The sequence below is a fragment of the Homo sapiens genome, chromosome 11, assembly GCF_000001405.40.
Source record: "Homo sapiens chromosome 11, GRCh38.p14 Primary Assembly".
Lineage (NCBI taxonomy): Eukaryota > Metazoa > Chordata > Mammalia > Primates > Hominidae > Homo > Homo sapiens.
Window position 1 is genome coordinate 10,734,396 of NC_000011.10, and position 19,050 is coordinate 10,753,445.

A 19,050-nucleotide genomic window follows, 5' to 3' on the forward strand; every position below is an offset into this window, starting at 1 on the left:
ACTTGAATGCCTTAAACAACCAAAACAATGTATTGGTTTACAAAATCTAAAGTTTAGAGGTAACGTGGGCTTCTGGCACGGGCTGTTGAGAGCTCCCAGTGTTTTGGGGGCTGCAACTCTGCTTGTCTGAAAGTTTCTCACCTCTGCCTCCCAGTCAGCTTTTTCTAAACCAGCCTTTCCTTGAGGTAGCACAAGGCAGCTGACAGCGTCCAGGGCTCAGCGCTTCCTCACTCATGTCTGGGGGATCAGTGTGGTTGTATGCCCACCCCTAAAACAATCGCAGTGGCCAAGGGAATGCCAAGGGGGCAGGGATTATGTTGATGGGTTTAGGCCAATTGGAACTGACCCCTGAAACTAAGAGTTGGTTTGATCCTAGACTTAAACCACAATAGGATGGGGGAACCTGCAATGGCAACTGCAGATATTCACCCCAAAGACCCTTCTTCAGTGTGGGTGTGGGTGTGGGTGTATTGTGTTGTGTCAGTGTGTATGTGTGATGTGTCAGTGTGTGAGGTGTGTGTTTGTGGGTATGAGAGTGTATTGTACACATGATGTGACTGTGTAAGCATGTATGTTGTGATTGTGCATATAAGTGTGTGTGTATGTTTGTATTAGTTGAGAAGACCATATGCTGGACTAAGTGTGCCTTGCATTATTTTTTAAAATTTTATTTTATTTTATTTTATTTCAATAGTTTTTGGGGTATAGGCGGTTTTTGGTTACATGGATAAGTCCATCAGTGGTGATTTCTGACATTGTATTGCACCCGTCACCCCAGCAATGTACACTGTACCCAATATGTAGTCTTTTATCCCTACTCCCCTCCCAACCTTCCCTCCACCCCCACCAGTCCCCATTGTCCATTATATAATTCTTGTTGGGGCCTTCCATTCTGACTCTGCTGCTACCACCTTGCTGGCCCCCAAGGGTCTCCCCCATCCCCCAACCCTCGCCCCCGTTTATGAGCAAAATCCCTTTTCCCCTAAGCATAGATGATAGGGTGGAAATTTTAACAACTTTCCTAACGAAAAAGGAGAAGAGAAAGGAAATCCATTCAGAGAGCATAAGAAACCTAGAAAATCATTTCTGACAATGTATGTCCCTGAACCAATTATGACCTCCTATTTCCCCCACTCAGCTGTCTCAGAGCCTTCCCAGCTCCCTGCCTGGCGCTAACTGCTGGAGGCCACCCTAGGACGTTTGTCCCCTAGCAGCCAAGGCCAAAAATCTCATTTGCACATTTGTACTCACCATTCCACCTCAGGGCCCTCCGTCACCCCCACCCCCGTCCTCTGTCCTCTCCTCCCGCCTCCTTGGAGAAACTTAGTGACATTTCCAACAAGGGCCCCACGGTAAGAAAGACGGCTTCCTTATACTCTGTGGTGAGGATCAGCACATGTAAACACAAATAGGAACGTTGCCTCAAGCGCTCCATCAGCGCACTCTAGAGTCCTACAAAGGATTAGACAAAACAAGGTCATCTCCCCGAGTCCCAGCCCAGTGCCTGGCCGCCCACCCCTTGCTCCGCCCAGGGCCTGCTCCCTCCGGTGATCCCAGTCCAGTGCAGCCCTCTGCTGCCCTCTGCTGGGCCCTTGCCTACACAGCCCCGGGGCTCACCAGCCACCAAGAACACCGGGGGCTCTTGGCCAACCTTTTCATGTTCCTCTGTGATCTGGAGGCTGGAACAGGTTCACCAATACTTTCACCCACCCATCACTTCTCAGTGTGCTGGAACCTGTGAACGGTTTCCTAGTCGTTCAGAGTCTCATGTCCTCGATTTTTTTTTAAAGCAAAACAGAGGTTATAATCCCTACCTCACAGGACCAGGGTGAAGATTAAAAGGGCTTATTCATTCATTTATGAGTCATATGTTTATTGCACCTCTACTATTTGCTAGGCACTGGGTTGGTACTAAGGATACAAAAAGAAACTATCCTTGCCCAAATGGCGCTCACTGTTCTGTATACACAAATACACAGTTGTGAATCATGATAAAGGAACTCAGTAAGATGCTGGGATAGACTAAGACAAGGGGAAGCTTCAGGGAAGATAAGGAGGCAACTTAAGCATGAACACGAGTCACATCCAAGGGATAAGGGGTTTGGGGTGGGTATTCCAGGGAGAGGCACAAGAAGGCTGTCGTGAAGGTCCCAGAAAAGGTGATAGAGGTAGGGAGTAGCTATAGCTGGAGGTTAGCCAGAGGGGGCAGGGCCTCGATGAGAATGGAAAGGGATTTGGACTCTATTCTAAGTGCTGTGGGAGCCATGGAAGGGTTGAGAAGTGGGGTTGTGAGGCGTTGGCTCACACCTGTTATCCCAGCAGCTTGGTAGGCCGAGGTGGGCAGATCACCTGAGGTCAGGAGTTCGAGACCAGCCTGGCCAATATGGTGAAACCCCCGTCTCCACCAAAAAAATTAAAAAATTAGCTGGGCATGGTGGCATGTGCCTGTAGTCCCAGCTACTCAGGAGGCTGAGGCAGGAGAATTGCTTGAACCCAGGATGGGGAGGTTGCAGTAAGCCAAGATCACTTCACATCACTGAGTGACAGAGGGAGACTCCGTCTCAAAAAAAAAAAAAAAAAAAAAAAGGCCCGGCATGGTAACTCACACCTGTAATCCCAGCACTTTGGGAGGCCAAGTCAGGCAGATCATGAGGTCAGGAGTTTGAGATAAGCCTAGCCAACATAGTGAAACCCCGACTCTACTAAAAATATAAAAAATTAGCCAGGCGTGGTGGCAGACACCTGTAATTCCAGCTACTCAGGAGGCTGAAGCAGGAGAATCGCTAGAACCCGGGAGGTGGAGGTTGCAGTGAGCAGAGATCATGCCATTGCACTCCAGCCTGAGTGACAGTGTGAGACTCAATCTCAAAAAAATAAAAATAAAAATTTAAAAAAAGAAGAAGTGGGATTTGGAGATCATGCCCTCCAGCTCTCCGTACCACACCAGCTCACCAGTGTCCTGCAGACTTCTTCACCTCCACCCATCTCGAAATGCTGATGCTCCTCTGGGCCTGGTCCTGGGCCCTCTTTTCTTCTCTCTCCACACTCTACTTCTCCTCCATCATCTCCTGCATTCCTGTGATTTTGAATAACATTCCTATTTGGATTGGTGTCTCCACCTAGACCCCTCCTTCTGGCTCCAGATCCACACATATCAAAGAACCACCTGCCCACTCTCAGCTTTTGGATTTCCCAGATCTGTCAAACTTAGTGTCTCAACCCTGATTTAATCCTGGCTCTGTCACTCCCAAACCTGCCTTCCCCATCTCAGCAAATGTATCACTTGCTCACTTGCTGAGACTTTATAATATAGATAAGCCCAAATATTTACACATTTACGCACACACACACGTTTTTTTGTGGAGACAAGGTCTTGCTAAGTTGTCCAGGCTGTTCTCAAACTCCTCAGCTCAGATCATCCTCCTGCCTCTGCCTCCCAGAGTGCTAGGATTGTGGGTGTGACCCACTGCATCCAGCCGATGATATTTTTTAAAGTTCCACATCTGTCCCCTCCACCTCCACATAACAGCCAGAGTGACGATGTCATCCTCTGGGAAATTGGAGTATGTCAGTTTCCTACTTCAAATTCATTAACTGCTTCCCTTTGTGCTTAGGACAAAACCAAGCTCCTTACCATGGTCTACGAAGTCCTACAAAATCTGGCCTAGCTTCCCCATCCCATTTCACATCCTTCTCTCCCTCGTTTAATGTGCTCACCACTGGCCTTTTTTTCGTTTAACCTCCTGTATGCATGCCAAGCTGTTTTCTTCCTCCAGCTCTTGTACATGCAGCTTCCTCTACCTGGAATGCTCCTGCCTCATCTCTGTAAAGCTGGTTACTTCCTACTCTTCAAACGTCAGCCTACCTGTCACCTAGTCAACAAGATCTTCTCCATTTGCCCCATCCAAAGTATGTCCACTTCCAGGTCTACCCTGATATCAAAACATATTTTGAAACTCCATTAAGTAAACCAATTTGATATAAGAGAAGAAATCAGTGGAACCAAAGAAAAATCAGAAGTAGACTCAAATGTACAGGGAATTTAGTGTAAAGTAAAGGTGAGATTTCTAATTACCTGGGAAAAGAGAGATTAGTAAACAAATGGTGATAGTACAGCTGGTCAGTACCTGTTAAGATGACAAGGGCGAGTTCCTCTCTGACTCCTTAGCCTAACAGTGTTAGTGAATCAAATACTTGTAAAAAAAATCATAAAATATCTTAGAATGTGGATCAATTTATTACAAATCTAAGAAAGGTGAGGACTTTGTTTGAAAAGCCCAAAACTCGAAGCAATAAGGCAAAAAATTAATAAGTTTGTCTAAGTAGCAATCTAACTTTGGTACAAAAAAAGAAGGAAAAATAAAACAACTAAATCAAAAGACTCAGTTCAAAAATAAGGAAAACAGTCCCAGCACCTTGGAAGGCCCAGGCAGGTGGATTGCTTGAGCCAGGAGTTTGAGAACAGCCTGTACAACACAGTGAGACCCCCTATCTCTACAAAAACAAAAACAGGGAAAATATTGAAAACATATTTGTAAAAGAGCTTTTTTTCTTAACATAAATAGAACTGACACACATGAATGCAACAACAACAAAAAAGAACAAACTAATAGAAAGTTGTGCAAAGGATAGAAATGGTTTATAGAAAAACAAATTCCAAAGACTGTAAACATATGGAGAGATGCTCTACTTGAGGTATAGTAGAAGAAATGCAAATCAAAATAGTGAGAAAACGTTTTCTTTCCACTTAAACTGGTGAAAGTCTTCCCGAGTGCTGGCAGGAATATGAGGGAAGGAATACCGCCACCCACTTTTAATGAGAGGGTAGTACAACTGATGCGATCTTATTGCACGTTACTTTGACAAAATCTATCAAAATGTAAAAGGCACATATCCTTTCACATAGCAAAGAATTTAGAAATAGTTTATTATAGCTACAAAACTGAGCCATATATATGTACAGGAATCTTCATGGCAGAATTTTTATAAAAGCCAAACCCAAAGTGTTCATCAAAAGTACCTAAATGATCCATCATCCATCATCCACATGACACAATACCATACAGTGATTAAAGAGAATAAACTAGGCCAGGCATGGTGGCTCACATCTGTAATCCCAGCACTTTGAGAGGCCAAGGTGGGAAGATTCCTTGAGGCCAGAAGTTCAAGACCAGCCTGGGCAACATAGTGAAACTCCCATCCCTACAAAAAATTATTTTTTAAAATTAGCCAGGCTGGGCATGGTGGCTCACACCTGTAAACCCAGCACTTTGGGAGGCCGAGGCGAGTTGACCACTTGAAGCGAGAAGTTTGAGACCAGCCTGGCCAACATGATGAAACCCCATCTCTACTAAAAATACAAAAAATTAGCCAGGTGTGGTGGCACACGCCTGTTATCCCAGCTACTCCGGAGGCTGAGACACAAGAATCTTGAACCCGGGAGGTGGAGGTTGCAGGGAACTGAGATTGCGTCACTGCACTCCAGCCTGGATGACAGAGCAAGACTCTGCCCACCTTCCTCTCCACAAAAAAATTAGCCAGGTATGGTAGCACATGCCTGTAGTCCCAGCTACTTGAGAAGCCAAGTCAGGAGGATTGCTTGAGCCCAGGAGTTCAAGACTGCAGTGAGTTATGATTGCACCACTGCACTCCAGCCTGGATGAGAGTGAGACACTGTCCAAAAAAAAAAAAAAAAAGTAGTTCTGGATATGTGATGTGGAAAGATTTTTAAGATATGTTAAGTGAAAAAAAAAAGCATGGTGTAGAGGACAAATTATCCCCTTTGTATAAATTATAACACTGACACATAATGTAGGTAGATGCAATTTTTTTTTCTGGAAAGAATCACAGGAAAGTATGCTTTTAGGGAGAGAAAATTGGATGAGAGGGAAGAAAATTGAGTCTCTGTTTTCATTTTCTATCTTTCTAAAGTAAAGTTAAAGGATTTGAAAATTTTTACCTTGGGTTTATATTATTTTTTGGCTTGAATTTTTTAAAAACCTGGTGCTCAATTGTTCAGTATCAATTTATTGCCTCTCAGCTCATGGAATGAGCCTTTCAATGTATGCTCTGCCCTAGGCAACAGATTTCCTCTAAGTGTCTCTCCCTTAAAGTGGGCACGATGTTATGCTTTCTCAGTTGGAGGCTGGAGGGATGTTGCAGGAGGAAAAGGCCTTCCTGCCATTTTGCCAAGGTCGAGGGTTGGTGGGGTGAGCATGAGGATGCATGGTGTCTTTGCCCCAGTCAGGCACTCAGAGCACTATGTCTCTGCAACCCTGCAGCTCGACCTACCCACAACCTTTCCAGAGCCCTCTCGGCAAAAACCAGAGCCCCTGTGAAGCCCCTGTGTGGCTCACATGCTCTGAAGGCCTCCTGCCCAAACCAGTGCCCTGACCACCCAGGCCACCACATGCTGATGGCCTGCACATCTTCCTGCATTCTAGGGGTGGCCAACTGCTTGTCCAGCAACTCCAGCCAGCTCTAGCCTGACCTAGCCAGACACTGCTCTTGGTGGCTAAAGCACACCTTCTCCAGTGAGATCCAAATTACTCCCAAGGTTGGCTTCTTTCGGTGCCCTGCCTCAGCCCTAGGGTACCGAGCAGAGTTTCTTTACATAGTTTAGTAATCCTTTCAGCGCAGTTAATAATTCCTTATATTATCCTTAGCCAACTAGCACAGGAATAAAAAAAACAAATATCCCATGTTCTCACTTATAAGTAGGAGCTAAATGATGAGAACACATGGGCACAAAGAAGGGACCAACACACACTGGTGCCTACTTGAGGGTTGAGGGTGGGAGGAGGGAGAGGAGCAGAAAAGTATTGGGTACTAGGCTTAGTACCTAGGTGACGAAATAAGTGTACAACAAACTCCTGTAACACGAGTTTACCTATGTAACAAATCTGCACAGGTACCCATGAACCTAAAAGTTAAAATTAAAAAAACAAAAAAATAAAAAAACCTTTCCCTGTTTGACCTACCATGTGCCTCCATTTCTTTATCTGTAAAATGCGGACTATAACAGTACCCACATCACAGGACTCTTGTGAGGATTAAATTAGTTAATATATATATAAAGCATTTAGAAGAGTTCCTGACACATCATAAGTACTGTATAAATGATGTTGTGTGAGGAAAGGCCAAGGGGAATAAAAACAGTCTAGAGGTTGGGTGCTGTAGTTCATGCCTGTAATCCCAGCACTTTGGGCAGCTGAGGCAGGTGGATCACCTGAGGTCAGGAGTTTGAGATCAGCCTGGCCAATAAGGTGAAACCCTGTCTCTACTAAAAATATAAAAATTAGCTAGGCATGGTGGCACACACCTGTAGTCCCAGCTACGTGGGAGGGTGAGGCAAAAGAATCACTTGAACCCAGGAGGCGGAGGTTGCAGTGAGCTGAGATTGCACCACTGCACTCCAGCCTGGGTGATGGAGTGAGACTCTGTCTCAAAAAAAAAAAAAAAAAGCAGTCCAGAGTCTGGTGGAATGAGTACCATTTTCAAACATCTGAAGGACTGTCATGTACAAGACCCTTTTACAGAAAACTAACAGAAGTGGAGGCTTGGCTCTTCATAAAGAATCGGAAATGGTTTGAGCTGCCCTAGAGTGACCAAACATTCCCAGTGTGCCCAGGACTGTCCCGGTATTAAAACTGAAAGTGCCATCTCGGAAAACTGCTAGGACCCAGGCAGATGGGGCCAACAGATGGTTGGTCACTCTAGCTGTCCCCCAGCAAGATGTCCTTCATGAAGCAGAGAGTACCTGTAGCTGATGGATCTGAGCAGAAGCTGAGGAATCGTGGTTCAGGGTTGGTAGAGCAGCTTTCCCTGCATGAGGAAGGAACTGGGACTGGATAAGATTTAATCCAGATAAAGCGCATTTTTATGGAAACAACTTGGATCTGTAGAGAGAAAAAACCCCACTTCAAATTCTGTCTCTGCCACTTACTAGCTTTGTGATCTTGGATAACTTAATTTTTTGAGCTTCAGTTCCTTGATCCATAAAATAGGAATAATCATTCCCAACTTGTAAGGCTATTGTATGGATTAGACATAATGTATGGGGGGTGACTTGCACAGTGCCTGGCGCAATGTAAGCATCCAAGAAGTTATAACTTCTCCCTCCAAGGTCCAACTCTAGGATTCTAATCGCCAGGTTCTCTAAGCCGTGGTTCTCAAACCAGCAGCATGGGCAGCACCTGGGTACTCATTAGAAGTGCAAATTATCCACTCCACCCCATACCTACTGAATCAGAAACTGTGAGCGGGGCCCAGAAATCTCAGTTTGAGTCGGCTCTCCAGGTGATCCTTGTTACCCAAACATTTGAGAAGCACTGCCTGAAGGGACTGTCCTATCGCTGAAATCAAAAACATGGGAAGTCTCTCCAAAACTTGAAAAGCTCTCCCTTTATTCCACTGTAAAATAAAGTTATTTTAAAATGCTATTACCACTGGAACATAATTTTTTCAAATAAAACAAAAGGAATTAAAAATAGTGCTGATCCCAATGCCTTTTTTTCCTTTTTTAAATTGCCTTTGTAAATAGGCCTCACATGCGCCAGCTGTCTGCACTCTGGCGTAGATAAGTCAGTATGACCTGGCTTTGACACATCCTCAGATCAACAGCACTGATAAGTTGACTAAGTTTGGTTACGCTGTGTTAGCCACTAATGTGGCCAACCATAAACTACACAGTCAAATTTATTTTCCACACTAACTGAGGGAGCAAGTGGGTAGGACATTTGGGAAAGAATTTCTTAAATGGTTTAGCATACTTCTTTAGGCATAAAAGCACCCCAGGGGTAAGTAAAAAGAATTCTCATTGGAGTGCAGGTTAATTTTTTTCTCTGCCCTGACAGGTCCCAGAACACAGTATGTTTATAACACACATAAAGATAGAGAAAGAGGAAAATAATATTTTAAAACAGTTCTAAACCCATTTTATAAAGATCTTTTAATATACAAAATCCAAGATCATTCGGTCAAAATGACCCATCTATTTTTTAATTTGAAATATTTCTTACAACTTTTAGGAATGAATGTGAAGAATAATCTCTTCAAGGTCCTGAAAATATCTTCAAAATATTTACTTAACACTGAGGCATAAAGTTTCATCTACACAAAGCAGTAACGTGCAAAGTCTGTGTGTACATTTGTAGGGTAAATGCACCTGTAGCAATAACTTAAGCATACCTTAGAATGACTTTGTATGGTAGATACACCTGAAATGTGTGTGTTTCCGAGCTAGGCAATCCGTGTGTGACCAACCTGGAGAGTCTTTCCTTGTCAATGAGGAACATCTGAGCCCCTGGCCCAACCAGTGGAACACAGGCTGCACGGGAGATTGAGGCCCTGAGTTCTGTGTTAAATGAAGGTTGCCAGATGGAGGTTGTTAGCAGGAAAGTGTTAAGTGAAAATGCTGTATAAACTGCATGCTGTTTGCAAGCAGTTGTGGTTTTCCTGCCCAGCCCGCTGCCTCCGCTAGGTCATGTGGTTATGCGGTCCATCCCGCCGCTGGACCGCTTCTGTAGGTGAGGCGGGTCTCCTGCCCAGCCCACCGCCACTAGACTCTCTCCCCTGTATGTGAGCCCCTAATAAAACCTCATGTCTCCTTTGCTGGCTCTGGGTCTCTTCTTTGGCCTCTTGAACCTGGTGCTTTCCCTATTGAGGTTAATAGGGGTTCCACACAACATTTGCTTTTAGAAACAAAGTTCTTTACTATGTTTCCATTTTTTTATACACAAGAAAACTCAAAATTTATGTAATGAGCATTTCCAGCATCCTTACCCTGGGAGAGGGGGTGTTTGGAAAGTATCTCTTCAAGAAGGACAGAGGCAGAGGGAAGACAAGACTACATACAGAACAATGTATTTTAAAGAGAAAAGGATAAATATCCTGTGATATACTGTTCTCCGAAGCTGAATATAGTTCAATGCCAAGCTATCTTTGGAGATGATAAGAAAAATATAAAGGCGAGAGTCCCTTGTGGAAGGATGATAACAAGGAAGACTTCCTGGAGATGGAACACACAACGGATGTCAGATAATCAGTAAATTTTAATGTTATGACTTGTGCTCTTGTTGCTAGCCTTAAAGAGTGTTCTTGTCAAGATTTTGCTCATGATACCCTTTCTGCATAAAACATCCTTCCCACAATTCTGCTTATTCAAATCCTACCCATCTTTCAAGGCCTACCTGAAGTTCTATCTTCTTTCCTTCCTTCCTTCAATAAGGATCAATAATAAAGTCCTTCAGGAGGGAGGGGCTGGGTGTAATGGCTCACACCTGTAATCCCAGCACTTTGGGAGGCCAAGGCAAGAGTTTTTCTTGAAATCAGGAGTTCGAGGCCAGCCAGGGCAACATAGTAAGACCCTGTCTCTACCAAATATGTATATATATATATACACACAAGAAGGGAGAGATCATGTGCTTCTTGTCATTGGGGACAAGAAAGAGAGGACGAGAAGAGTTGGAGAGTCTGTGTTCCACCTGAAGTGAGAAAACTCCAAGGGATAGAGTAGTGACTGCTTCCAAAGCAGTGACTGCATCTAAAGCAATGACACATACACATTGACCTAACACCTGACACCCCGTCTTATTTTCTACACCAATCCTCAGAGACAAATATGACTACCCCACCCCAACCTCACTCCCACCCTTGTCGTCTACACTATTGACAGATTACTGTGCCCCTGTTATAGGGTTGTTCTGAGGATTAAATGAGTTTCTGTATGTAAAATTCTGACACAAGTAAATATTCAATACCTGTTAGGTGTATTAAGTGTAGATGTTAACTTTCTGTTTAATTACTACTAGGGGAAGTAAAATCAATCAAAAAAGTAATTTGCTCAGGCATCCCAAAGATATGACATACTTAGGGATAATTTCCATGCTAATATCTTGCCTTGGGGATTCACAGACCAAGTAGACAATGTTAAACACCAAACCCATCTGAGATACAGACCTGTGGTTATAAGTGCTTAGGAGAGACTATTCCCCCATTGCACCATCTATACCTTTTACACCCAGAACATCTGTGTTGGTGGGATTTTTTTTTAGTTCCCCCACTTTTACTTAGGGTGTAATCTTTTAAGGGTTCCAATGTGGGCCCAAAGCCTCTAATCCTGTTTCTGTGTGAACATTAAGACACAATTCACTGGAATATATCAGCCACCACTACCTGGGTAGTCTTAGCATGGGCTTAAATGCCTGTTCTTCAGATTATTAGATAGCTCAGCTATTCATTTATGAGGACATTTACTGTGTGTGTGTGTGTGTGTGTGTGTGTGTGTGTGTGTTTTCAGACCTGCAAATCTAGGTGTTTTTAGCAGGAGGGTTTTCTGGTTATTCAAATCTGCCAGAACTAAGATTTCTATCAGAGTGTTTTACTGACAGTCAAATTAGGTGTGTTGACCTTTATTCCCAGTTCTTACCTAAAGGAGCATTTTATGTAATTTTAAATTCCTGAAACTATAGTGATGTTTTGGAGATGAATATTTATTGAAACCCCAGAGGAAACTATGACACAGAGTATTCTAAGACAACTGCCCAGGCAACTGTAATGATAAATTATAACCCTAAAACTTTTGCCTAATGATGATTTATCCTAATATTTCATAAACAAGCCTTATTTTAATAATTAATGGGGAAAAGTATAATTTAAAAATTCAGCTGCAACAACAGGGGATACTCAGCCATAAAAAGGAATGAAATAATGGCATTCACAGCAACCTGGATGGAGTTAGAGACCATTATTCTAAGTGAAGTAACTCAGGAATGGAAAACCAAACGTCATATGTTCTCACTTATAAGTGGGAGCTAAGCTATGAGGACACAAAGGCCTAAGAATGATATGATGGGCTTTGGGGACTCGGGGGTGGGAGTAGGGTGGAGGGGTGAGAGACAAAAGACTACACATTGGGTACAGTGTACACTGCTTGGGTGACAGTTGCACCAAAATCTCCAGAATCAACACTAAAAAATTTATCCACATAACAAAAAACACCTGTTCCCCCAAAACTATTGAACTTTTTTTAAAAAGGAAAATAATAAAAATAATTCAGCTGCAGAGATGTGTCCTGCTGATAGGCCTCTGCTACAGGCCGTACTGTGTTCCCCTCAAAATTCATTTATGGAAGTCCTAACTCCCAGTACCTCAGAATGTGACTATATTTAGAGACAGGATCTTTAGAGAGGTCATTAAATTAAAATAAAGTCATTAGGGTGAGCCCTAATTCAATGACTGAAGTTTTTATAGGAAGAGGAGATTAGGATTTAAACTCAGAGAGAGTGAAGAACATGGGAAGCCACAGAGAGAAGACGGCCATATACGAGCCAGGGAAAGAGGCCTCAGGAGAAACCAAACCTGCCAATGCCTTGGACTCTCACTTCCAGCCTACAGAATTGTCAGAAAATACATTTCTATTGTTTAAGTCATCCAGTCTGTGTACTTTGTTATGGGAGCCCTAGCCCCAGCAAACTAACATAGCTTCGTATTGTTTCTTAATAATTTATACAAACTACTTAAAACACTTAAAACACTTCAATTTGTGTCCTGCTATTTAAAAGATATCTAACTTAAGATCTAAAATATTATTTAGGTTGAGCGTGGTGGCTCATGCCTGTAATTCCAGCACTTTGGGAGGCAGAGGCTGGAGGATCACCTGAGCCCAGGGAGGTCAAGCCTGCAATGAGTCATGACCACATCACTGCCCTCCAGCCTGGGTGACAGAGTGAGACCCTGTCTAAAAAAAATATATATATATATAATATATTATATATTTATATAATTAATTATATTTATATAATTATATATTTATATAGTATATTATATATTTATATAATTATATATAATATATATTATATATTTATATAATTATATATAATATTTTATATATTATATATAATATATTTATATATTTATATAATATATATTATATATTATATATAATATATATTATATAAAATATATTTATATTATATATAAAATATAATATTTATATTATATATAATATATATATAATATATACACACATAATTATATATAACAAATTATATGTATATTTAATTTGTTAAGATCAACTTTCTTCACTCCTTTTTAATAATTAGCATATTTCGCCAGATGTGGTAGTGTCTGCTTATAATCCCAGCTGCTTGGGAGGCTGAAGCAGGAAATTGCTTGAGCCCAGGAGTTTGAGGCTGCAATGAGCTGTGATGGTGCCACCGTACTCCATCCTGCATGACAGAGTGAGACCCTGCCTCAAAAATAATAAATTAATTATTAGCATATTTTATCAACATATAAAATAACTTACTCTTCAGATTGGCTAAATGTATATATTTACCAACATTACAGACAACTGCAATACCAACAACATAAAAGTAAGAATCTTAACAATCTATTTAGAACATGTACTCAACAAAACCCACACTGGCCAAATACACTAACTGCTTTGCCTTGATCTGGTGCACTCAGGCCCAACATGGGGCATGGTGTTTTGTGAATGGACATTATGCAATCATGCCAGTTGAAATAAAATCTTTGAAATTGCTCCAAAACTGGTTCTACAGCTTTAAAACATCTAATTTCATCAGTGCCTGCTACATTTAGGGAAAAACAAAAGGCTGCTTGTAGCAACCTGGTACCAAGAGTGTAGTTTAAGTCTCAATTGTTGCCAGGCCCCTGATAGGTGATTCTCTCTTCATTGTCCTTGCTGATTCCTTGCAGGCCACCTTCCTCTTCACACCCTCTGTGTGCTAGAATTCCTCAGGCTGGGAACTAGGCCCTTCTCTTGTCACTCTCCATTCTCTCCCTAGGTTATCTAATCTAATTTAATCCCATAGTTTTAAAATTCATCTTTATGCCAATAGCTCTCAGACCTATTTCTCCAGGTTAGAAACTGTCTTCTAAATTACAGATCTGTAATTTAGACTATCTGAAATCTGCATCTGGCTGTCGCAGAGACAGTACAAACTACAAACAACACATGTGAAATCCAACTAGTGGTCTACCCTTGCCCAAATGTGCTCCTCCACTAATCTTTCCTATTTTAGGAAATGACACATCATTCACCCAGTTGTTCATGCCAGAAACTGGACGTCCTTCTTGACACTACTTTTTCAGTGACCCCGGCCTATATCCAATACATTGGCAAGTCCTAGTGACTAAGGTATCAACAGATGATTGATAGACAGATAGATAGATGATAATCTTAAATCCATCCACTTCTCTCCACCTCCACTGTCTTAAACCTATTCCTATTTATCATCTGTGACCTAGACAGCAGTTTCCTAAGTGGTCTGCCCACATCCTCTCGAGACACTTTCCAATCCATCTTTCACAACATAGCCAGAACAATCTTTTAAAACCAATTCTTTTTTTTTTTTTTCAGACAGAGTCTCACTCTGTCGCCCAGGCTGGAGTGCACCGGCATGATCTTGGCTCACTGCAACCTTCACCTCCGCCTCTGGGGCTCAAGTGATTCTCATGCCTCAGCCTCCTGAGTAGCTGGGATAACAGGCGTGCACCACCACACCCAGCTAATTTTTGTATCTTTAGTAGAGACAAATTTCACCATGTTGCCCAGACTGGTCTTGAATTCTTAAACTCATGTGATAGGCCACCTCGGCCACCCAAAGTACTGGGATTACAGGCATGAGCCACCGTGCCTGGCCAAAACCAATTCTCTTTTATTCTTTCTCCCTCTCATTGACACATACACATCACTTAAAGCATTTCAATCACTTTGCATGTAAGATAAAACCCCAAATCATTAATATATACTAAGTCAAAAGAAATTCTGAAGGACAAAAGCATTTAGAAAAAAAGTTTACTTACAAAAACACTTGCAAAAGTATACAGGTGAATTTACGCTTTAGAAGGACTGATACATCAAATGAACACACACCAAGGTTTACAGTTAGTTGCTTCATGGTGAGAAAAGAGCAATTTTCTCATATGATTGCCATATGACCCCAAGCTCCCACATATCTTCAGACTGTAGCAGTACAAAAGTCAGCAATTAAACTGTAAGAGAGTCAGTAATATATGGGAAATGCTGAAAGTTTTGTTCACTTTGGAGACTACAGAGTGTGATACTGTTGTTTCACGGTTTATTTCAGAACACAAAGTATTTTGTTTTTCCTGTGGGAAGTAATATGTACACTCACTCATTTTGGAAACAGGACAAGATGTCAGTTTTGCTTTATAAGCATAAACCCCAGCATGTCTGGGTACTTCTTATATCAGCTTCAACTCATGCCACTCTCCCCCTCATTTTCTACATTCTAGTCACATGACCTTCTTGCAGGTTCTCAAAGCTCTTCCCCAACATGCCGTCCCCTCTGTCTGGTACACATTCCCCTACATACTTTACCTGCCAAACCTTACTCATTTTCCCAGATGCAACTTAAATGTCACTTCCTCCAAATCCCACTCTAAACTGAGTGCCCCAACTATTCAATCATAGCACTCTGCATTATCAGGTATGATGCCTTTGGATGCGAATAACTGAAAAACCAAACCTATCAATAGAGTTTTTAATATCAGGGAGGCTTTTGGGCATGGAGAATAACAATCACCACTATGTGTACTTTTGTTTAATGCTTACTTTATAAACTTTAAAATATATTAAACAGTATTTCTGGGAAATACTGTCTGATGCCATCCAATGCAGTATTCACTAACCACATGTGGCTATTGAACACTTGAAATATGACTAATCCAATTAAGGAATTTAATTAGGAATTTTTTTAATTTAAATTTTGGAAAAACTAAAGTGTGTGAACCTATTTTTTCAACTGCAAACTTTATAAAATCTAAACACAGATCCAATATTTCCAATTAAAATCAGGCAACTGAGATCAGTGTATGCATGTGAAATACATATCGAATTTTCAAGACTCAGTATAAAAAAATGTAAAAATTATCTGAATTTTTATATTGACTACATGTTGAAATGAGATTTTGGATATATTACGTTAAATAAAATATATTACTAAAATTAATTTCCTCTTTTTTTTTTTTTTGAGGTGGAGTCTCGATCGATCCCCAGTCTGGAGCGCAGTGGCTGATCTCGGCTCAGCGCAACCTCCGTCTCCCGGGTTCAAGCGAGTCTCCTGTTTCAGTCTCCCTGGTAGCTGGGATTACAGGCGCCCACCACCGCGCCGGGCTAATTTTTGTATTTTTAGTATAGACGGGTTTTCACCATGTTGGTCAGGCTGGTCTCGAACTCCTGACCTCAGATGATCCGCCCGCCTTGGCCTCCCAAAGTGCTGGGATTACAGGCGTGAGCCACCGCGCCTGGCCTCATCTGCAATTTTACTTAAATCACAAATATACTAGATCTTCTTACATGCTTCGAAGAACTAAAAAAAATAAGACATGAATTATCACAATGATTACCGAATTAATTGTAAATTTTTTTATTTAAACTAGTCACAAAGGTATCACAGGTATGACTTACACCTAACGGGGGCCAAAAGATGGGTTGCGAAACGAATGACTGAATTATCCCTAACAATCTTGGGAAGAAAACAGGATTGGCCAGGCCCATCCCGAGAGGTCCACGTCAGGCAGGGGCCCCGCCCACCGCGGGACCAAGCGGCTACGCCTTCCAAGTTTTCATTCGGGGCCGCGCCAGCGCTGAGGAGAGTCAGACGCCAGATGGTTCCGAAGGTCCTGCAGGCTCTCGGGGCACCCTACAGCCGACACGCCAACAAAAGCTTCGGAGCCGCCAACCCCAAAACGGAAACACCGGAGCCACAAGCTGAGCTCGCGTAGGGCACGCTCCCCCGGGAGTGCTTCCGGGACAGGGGGCGGGGTCGCCGGAAGTGGCCGTCCGCCGTCCGCTGCTCGTTGTTTAAGCGGCTGACGGGAAGGAGAAGCCAGAGCTCCAGCGGCGCCGCGGGGCGGCAGTCAAGACCAGAGCCGGAGCCGTCACTCACCTCTGGATTAGCCTGAAGCGGAGACTACCGGCTGCGGAGCGGCGGGGCGAGACACTTGCTCGCCTTTTGACCCCATCATGTCGCGGGGCTCCATCGAGATTCCCCTCCGGGACACTGACGAGGTAAGTGTCGTGTATGGAGGCGGGTGGGGGCCATGAACTTGTACGATCGCCCCCACCGACTTCGCTCGACTTCGTTTCTGAAGCGAGAGCATCCTCCTTCCCTAAGAGCCCTGATCGAAATACCTGGCCAAGGTCTGATCATCATCTTCTTCAGCCCCTGTGCCCTCTCAGGCTGGGGGCACCGCGTCTCTGCAGCCTCAGGGCCACTCGGAGAAGGAGTTCTTGAAAGTTCCTCTCCAGCCTGTTCGAATTTGACAGTGCGCTACTCTTTTCCTAACCAACCCACGGGAGCAGAGGTGTGAGAGTACCCGATAAACTGTAAAACACCTCGCAGATTACAGAGGTGGGCGCTGATGTTTCCGGGGTTTATATGCTTGCTGCTCAAACTCGAGATCTTTCCCTGGGAATATATAGGAGGTCGCCTCTTCTCCCTTAGAAACTCGAGTCTGTCATGGTGCGCTGTGTTCTCTACACCAACTCTCCTTCAACGAGATATCCCAAGATTTAGCCGCCCCTGTGTGCTGATAAAATTTAACCTCCTCTCGCTTACCTATGTCTCATTCATGGGTGGCCTGTGGCTTGTCTGAGTAAAGCTCTCAGCTTTGATGTTCAGTCTTCTTGTATATCTTTTATTTTTATTTTTTTTGTTTGAGATATAATATTGAGGTATAAAATTCAGTGGTTTTTAGTGTATTCGCAAAGTTGTATAGTCATTACCTCTAATTCCAGGACATTTTCCTATTATTATTTTTGTGCTTACAGTCAGGACTGTCTGTTACACGCAGGTGCCACCTCCATGATTAATGTGTGCAGTGGCATTCAACTTTGCATGGCTTGTAGGGTCATGCATCTCAAGGAGTCAGACCTATGGCATAATAGTCTCTAGGGTGCTTATCTGCACTTTACTTGGATTCTATGTTAAGTAGGATTTTGTTTTGTTATTTTTTAGTAAGCAGACCATTTCTAGTATTTTATAGTTCCAGTGATCTGGGGACAAGTAGCAGGGTTTGTTTGCTTCTCTGTGCTTTAACTTTATTATAGTATAACCTATTCGTCATGTGCTCCTTAAACATTAACATGGATTAGCTCAACCGTATTGAAAGTGAACACGTACTCTATGTATATGCATGTTGATTATATTCACGAAAAGCAGCAAAGATGAAATGTGAATTTTAAAGTGGAATAAGAGTTAAGACCTACCTTTTGTATTTTAGGTCATTGAACTTGACTTCGATCAGTTACCGGAGGGAGATGAAGTTATCAGTATTCTGAAACAGGAACACACACAACTGCACATATGGATTGCTTTGGCGGTCAGTATTCATGTAGCAAATATTTTTTATTTGTTGACTAGGAAAATATGTAGTTTCTGTTTTCAGATATAGTAATAGCCAGCTTGGCTGCATGGTAGATTAGTTATACCATGTGTATGGAAGTTAATTGTGTTAATAATTTATGGAACAATAAGGCCGTTTTCCTAAATGATATGCTGCTCTACTGGTGAATTAGTATATGTTGGTAAAGGCAAAATTCATTTAAGTAGTACTCTATATTGAATATTTTATTATTTAGTGCTTGTTCAGTGAAGGCTGGCTTATGGTTTATAGATAAGCTGAAAAGAAGCGAAGTGCTTCTGTGTGAACATTGCTGCTTAACATTGTTTCCTATAACAACAAAACACTTCCCTTAAAATATTCTAGAATGTGATTAGGTTCTGGGAAAATCACTTCACCCAAAATCACAAAAGTTCTTTTGGGTGAAGTTTATCTCAGACTTATGTTTTTTGTCCTATTTAGTCTCCTTCAATGTGAATCTTACTGGAGATTCTCAAGAAAATCCAATCAGAAACCCTAAAATTCTATATCCTCTACTTGCCAGCATCAGCTGCATAATGATGTTTTCTTTTTATAGGAATAGGTAATATAAATGTTACAGTCATTATTCCTAAGTAGATATGCCACATTGCTTTCATACAAACATACAGAAGA

The 19,050-nt window shown here is 42.3% G+C and overlaps 1 protein-coding gene across 2 annotated transcripts in view, besides 5 other annotated features; it reads left to right on the top strand.

The window, feature by feature from the left end:
• Positions 9,222-9,291: an enhancer, noted in NCBI's record as "active region_4444". NCBI's record gives its function as "activates an Ori minimal core promoter by ATAC-STARR-seq in GM12878 lymphoblastoid cells {active_cell/tissue: GM12878}" and the evidence as "EXISTENCE:reporter gene assay evidence [ECO:0000049][PMID:35858748]".
• Positions 16,220-16,720: an enhancer, noted in NCBI's record as "H3K27ac hESC enhancer chr11:10772162-10772662 (GRCh37/hg19 assembly coordinates)". NCBI's record gives its function as "activates a minimal SCP1, AML or CMV promoter by ChIP-STARR-seq in naive H9 embryonic stem cells {active_cell/tissue: H9 hESC(naive)}" and the evidence as "EXISTENCE:reporter gene assay evidence [ECO:0000049][PMID:30033119]".
• Positions 16,220-16,738: a biological region, named in NCBI's record as "H3K27ac hESC enhancer GRCh37_chr11:10772162-10772662".
• Positions 16,519-16,668: an enhancer, noted in NCBI's record as "active region_4445". NCBI's record gives its function as "activates an Ori minimal core promoter by ATAC-STARR-seq in GM12878 lymphoblastoid cells {active_cell/tissue: GM12878}" and the evidence as "EXISTENCE:reporter gene assay evidence [ECO:0000049][PMID:35858748]".
• Positions 16,689-16,738: an enhancer, noted in NCBI's record as "active region_4446". NCBI's record gives its function as "activates an Ori minimal core promoter by ATAC-STARR-seq in GM12878 lymphoblastoid cells {active_cell/tissue: GM12878}" and the evidence as "EXISTENCE:reporter gene assay evidence [ECO:0000049][PMID:35858748]".
• The window catches only part of CTR9 (CTR9 component of Paf1/RNA polymerase II complex), a 28,501-nt gene continuing 26,301 nt past the window's right edge, over positions 16,851-19,050 (top strand). For both annotated transcript variants that reach the window (NM_014633.5, NM_001346279.2), the window contains exons 1-2: positions 16,851-17,062; positions 18,277-18,375. In NM_014633.5, the coding sequence (NP_055448.1) occupies positions 17,018-17,062; positions 18,277-18,375 (144 nt within the window). In that variant the 5' untranslated portion in view covers positions 16,851-17,017. The remainder of the gene's footprint in view (positions 17,063-18,276; positions 18,376-19,050) is intronic.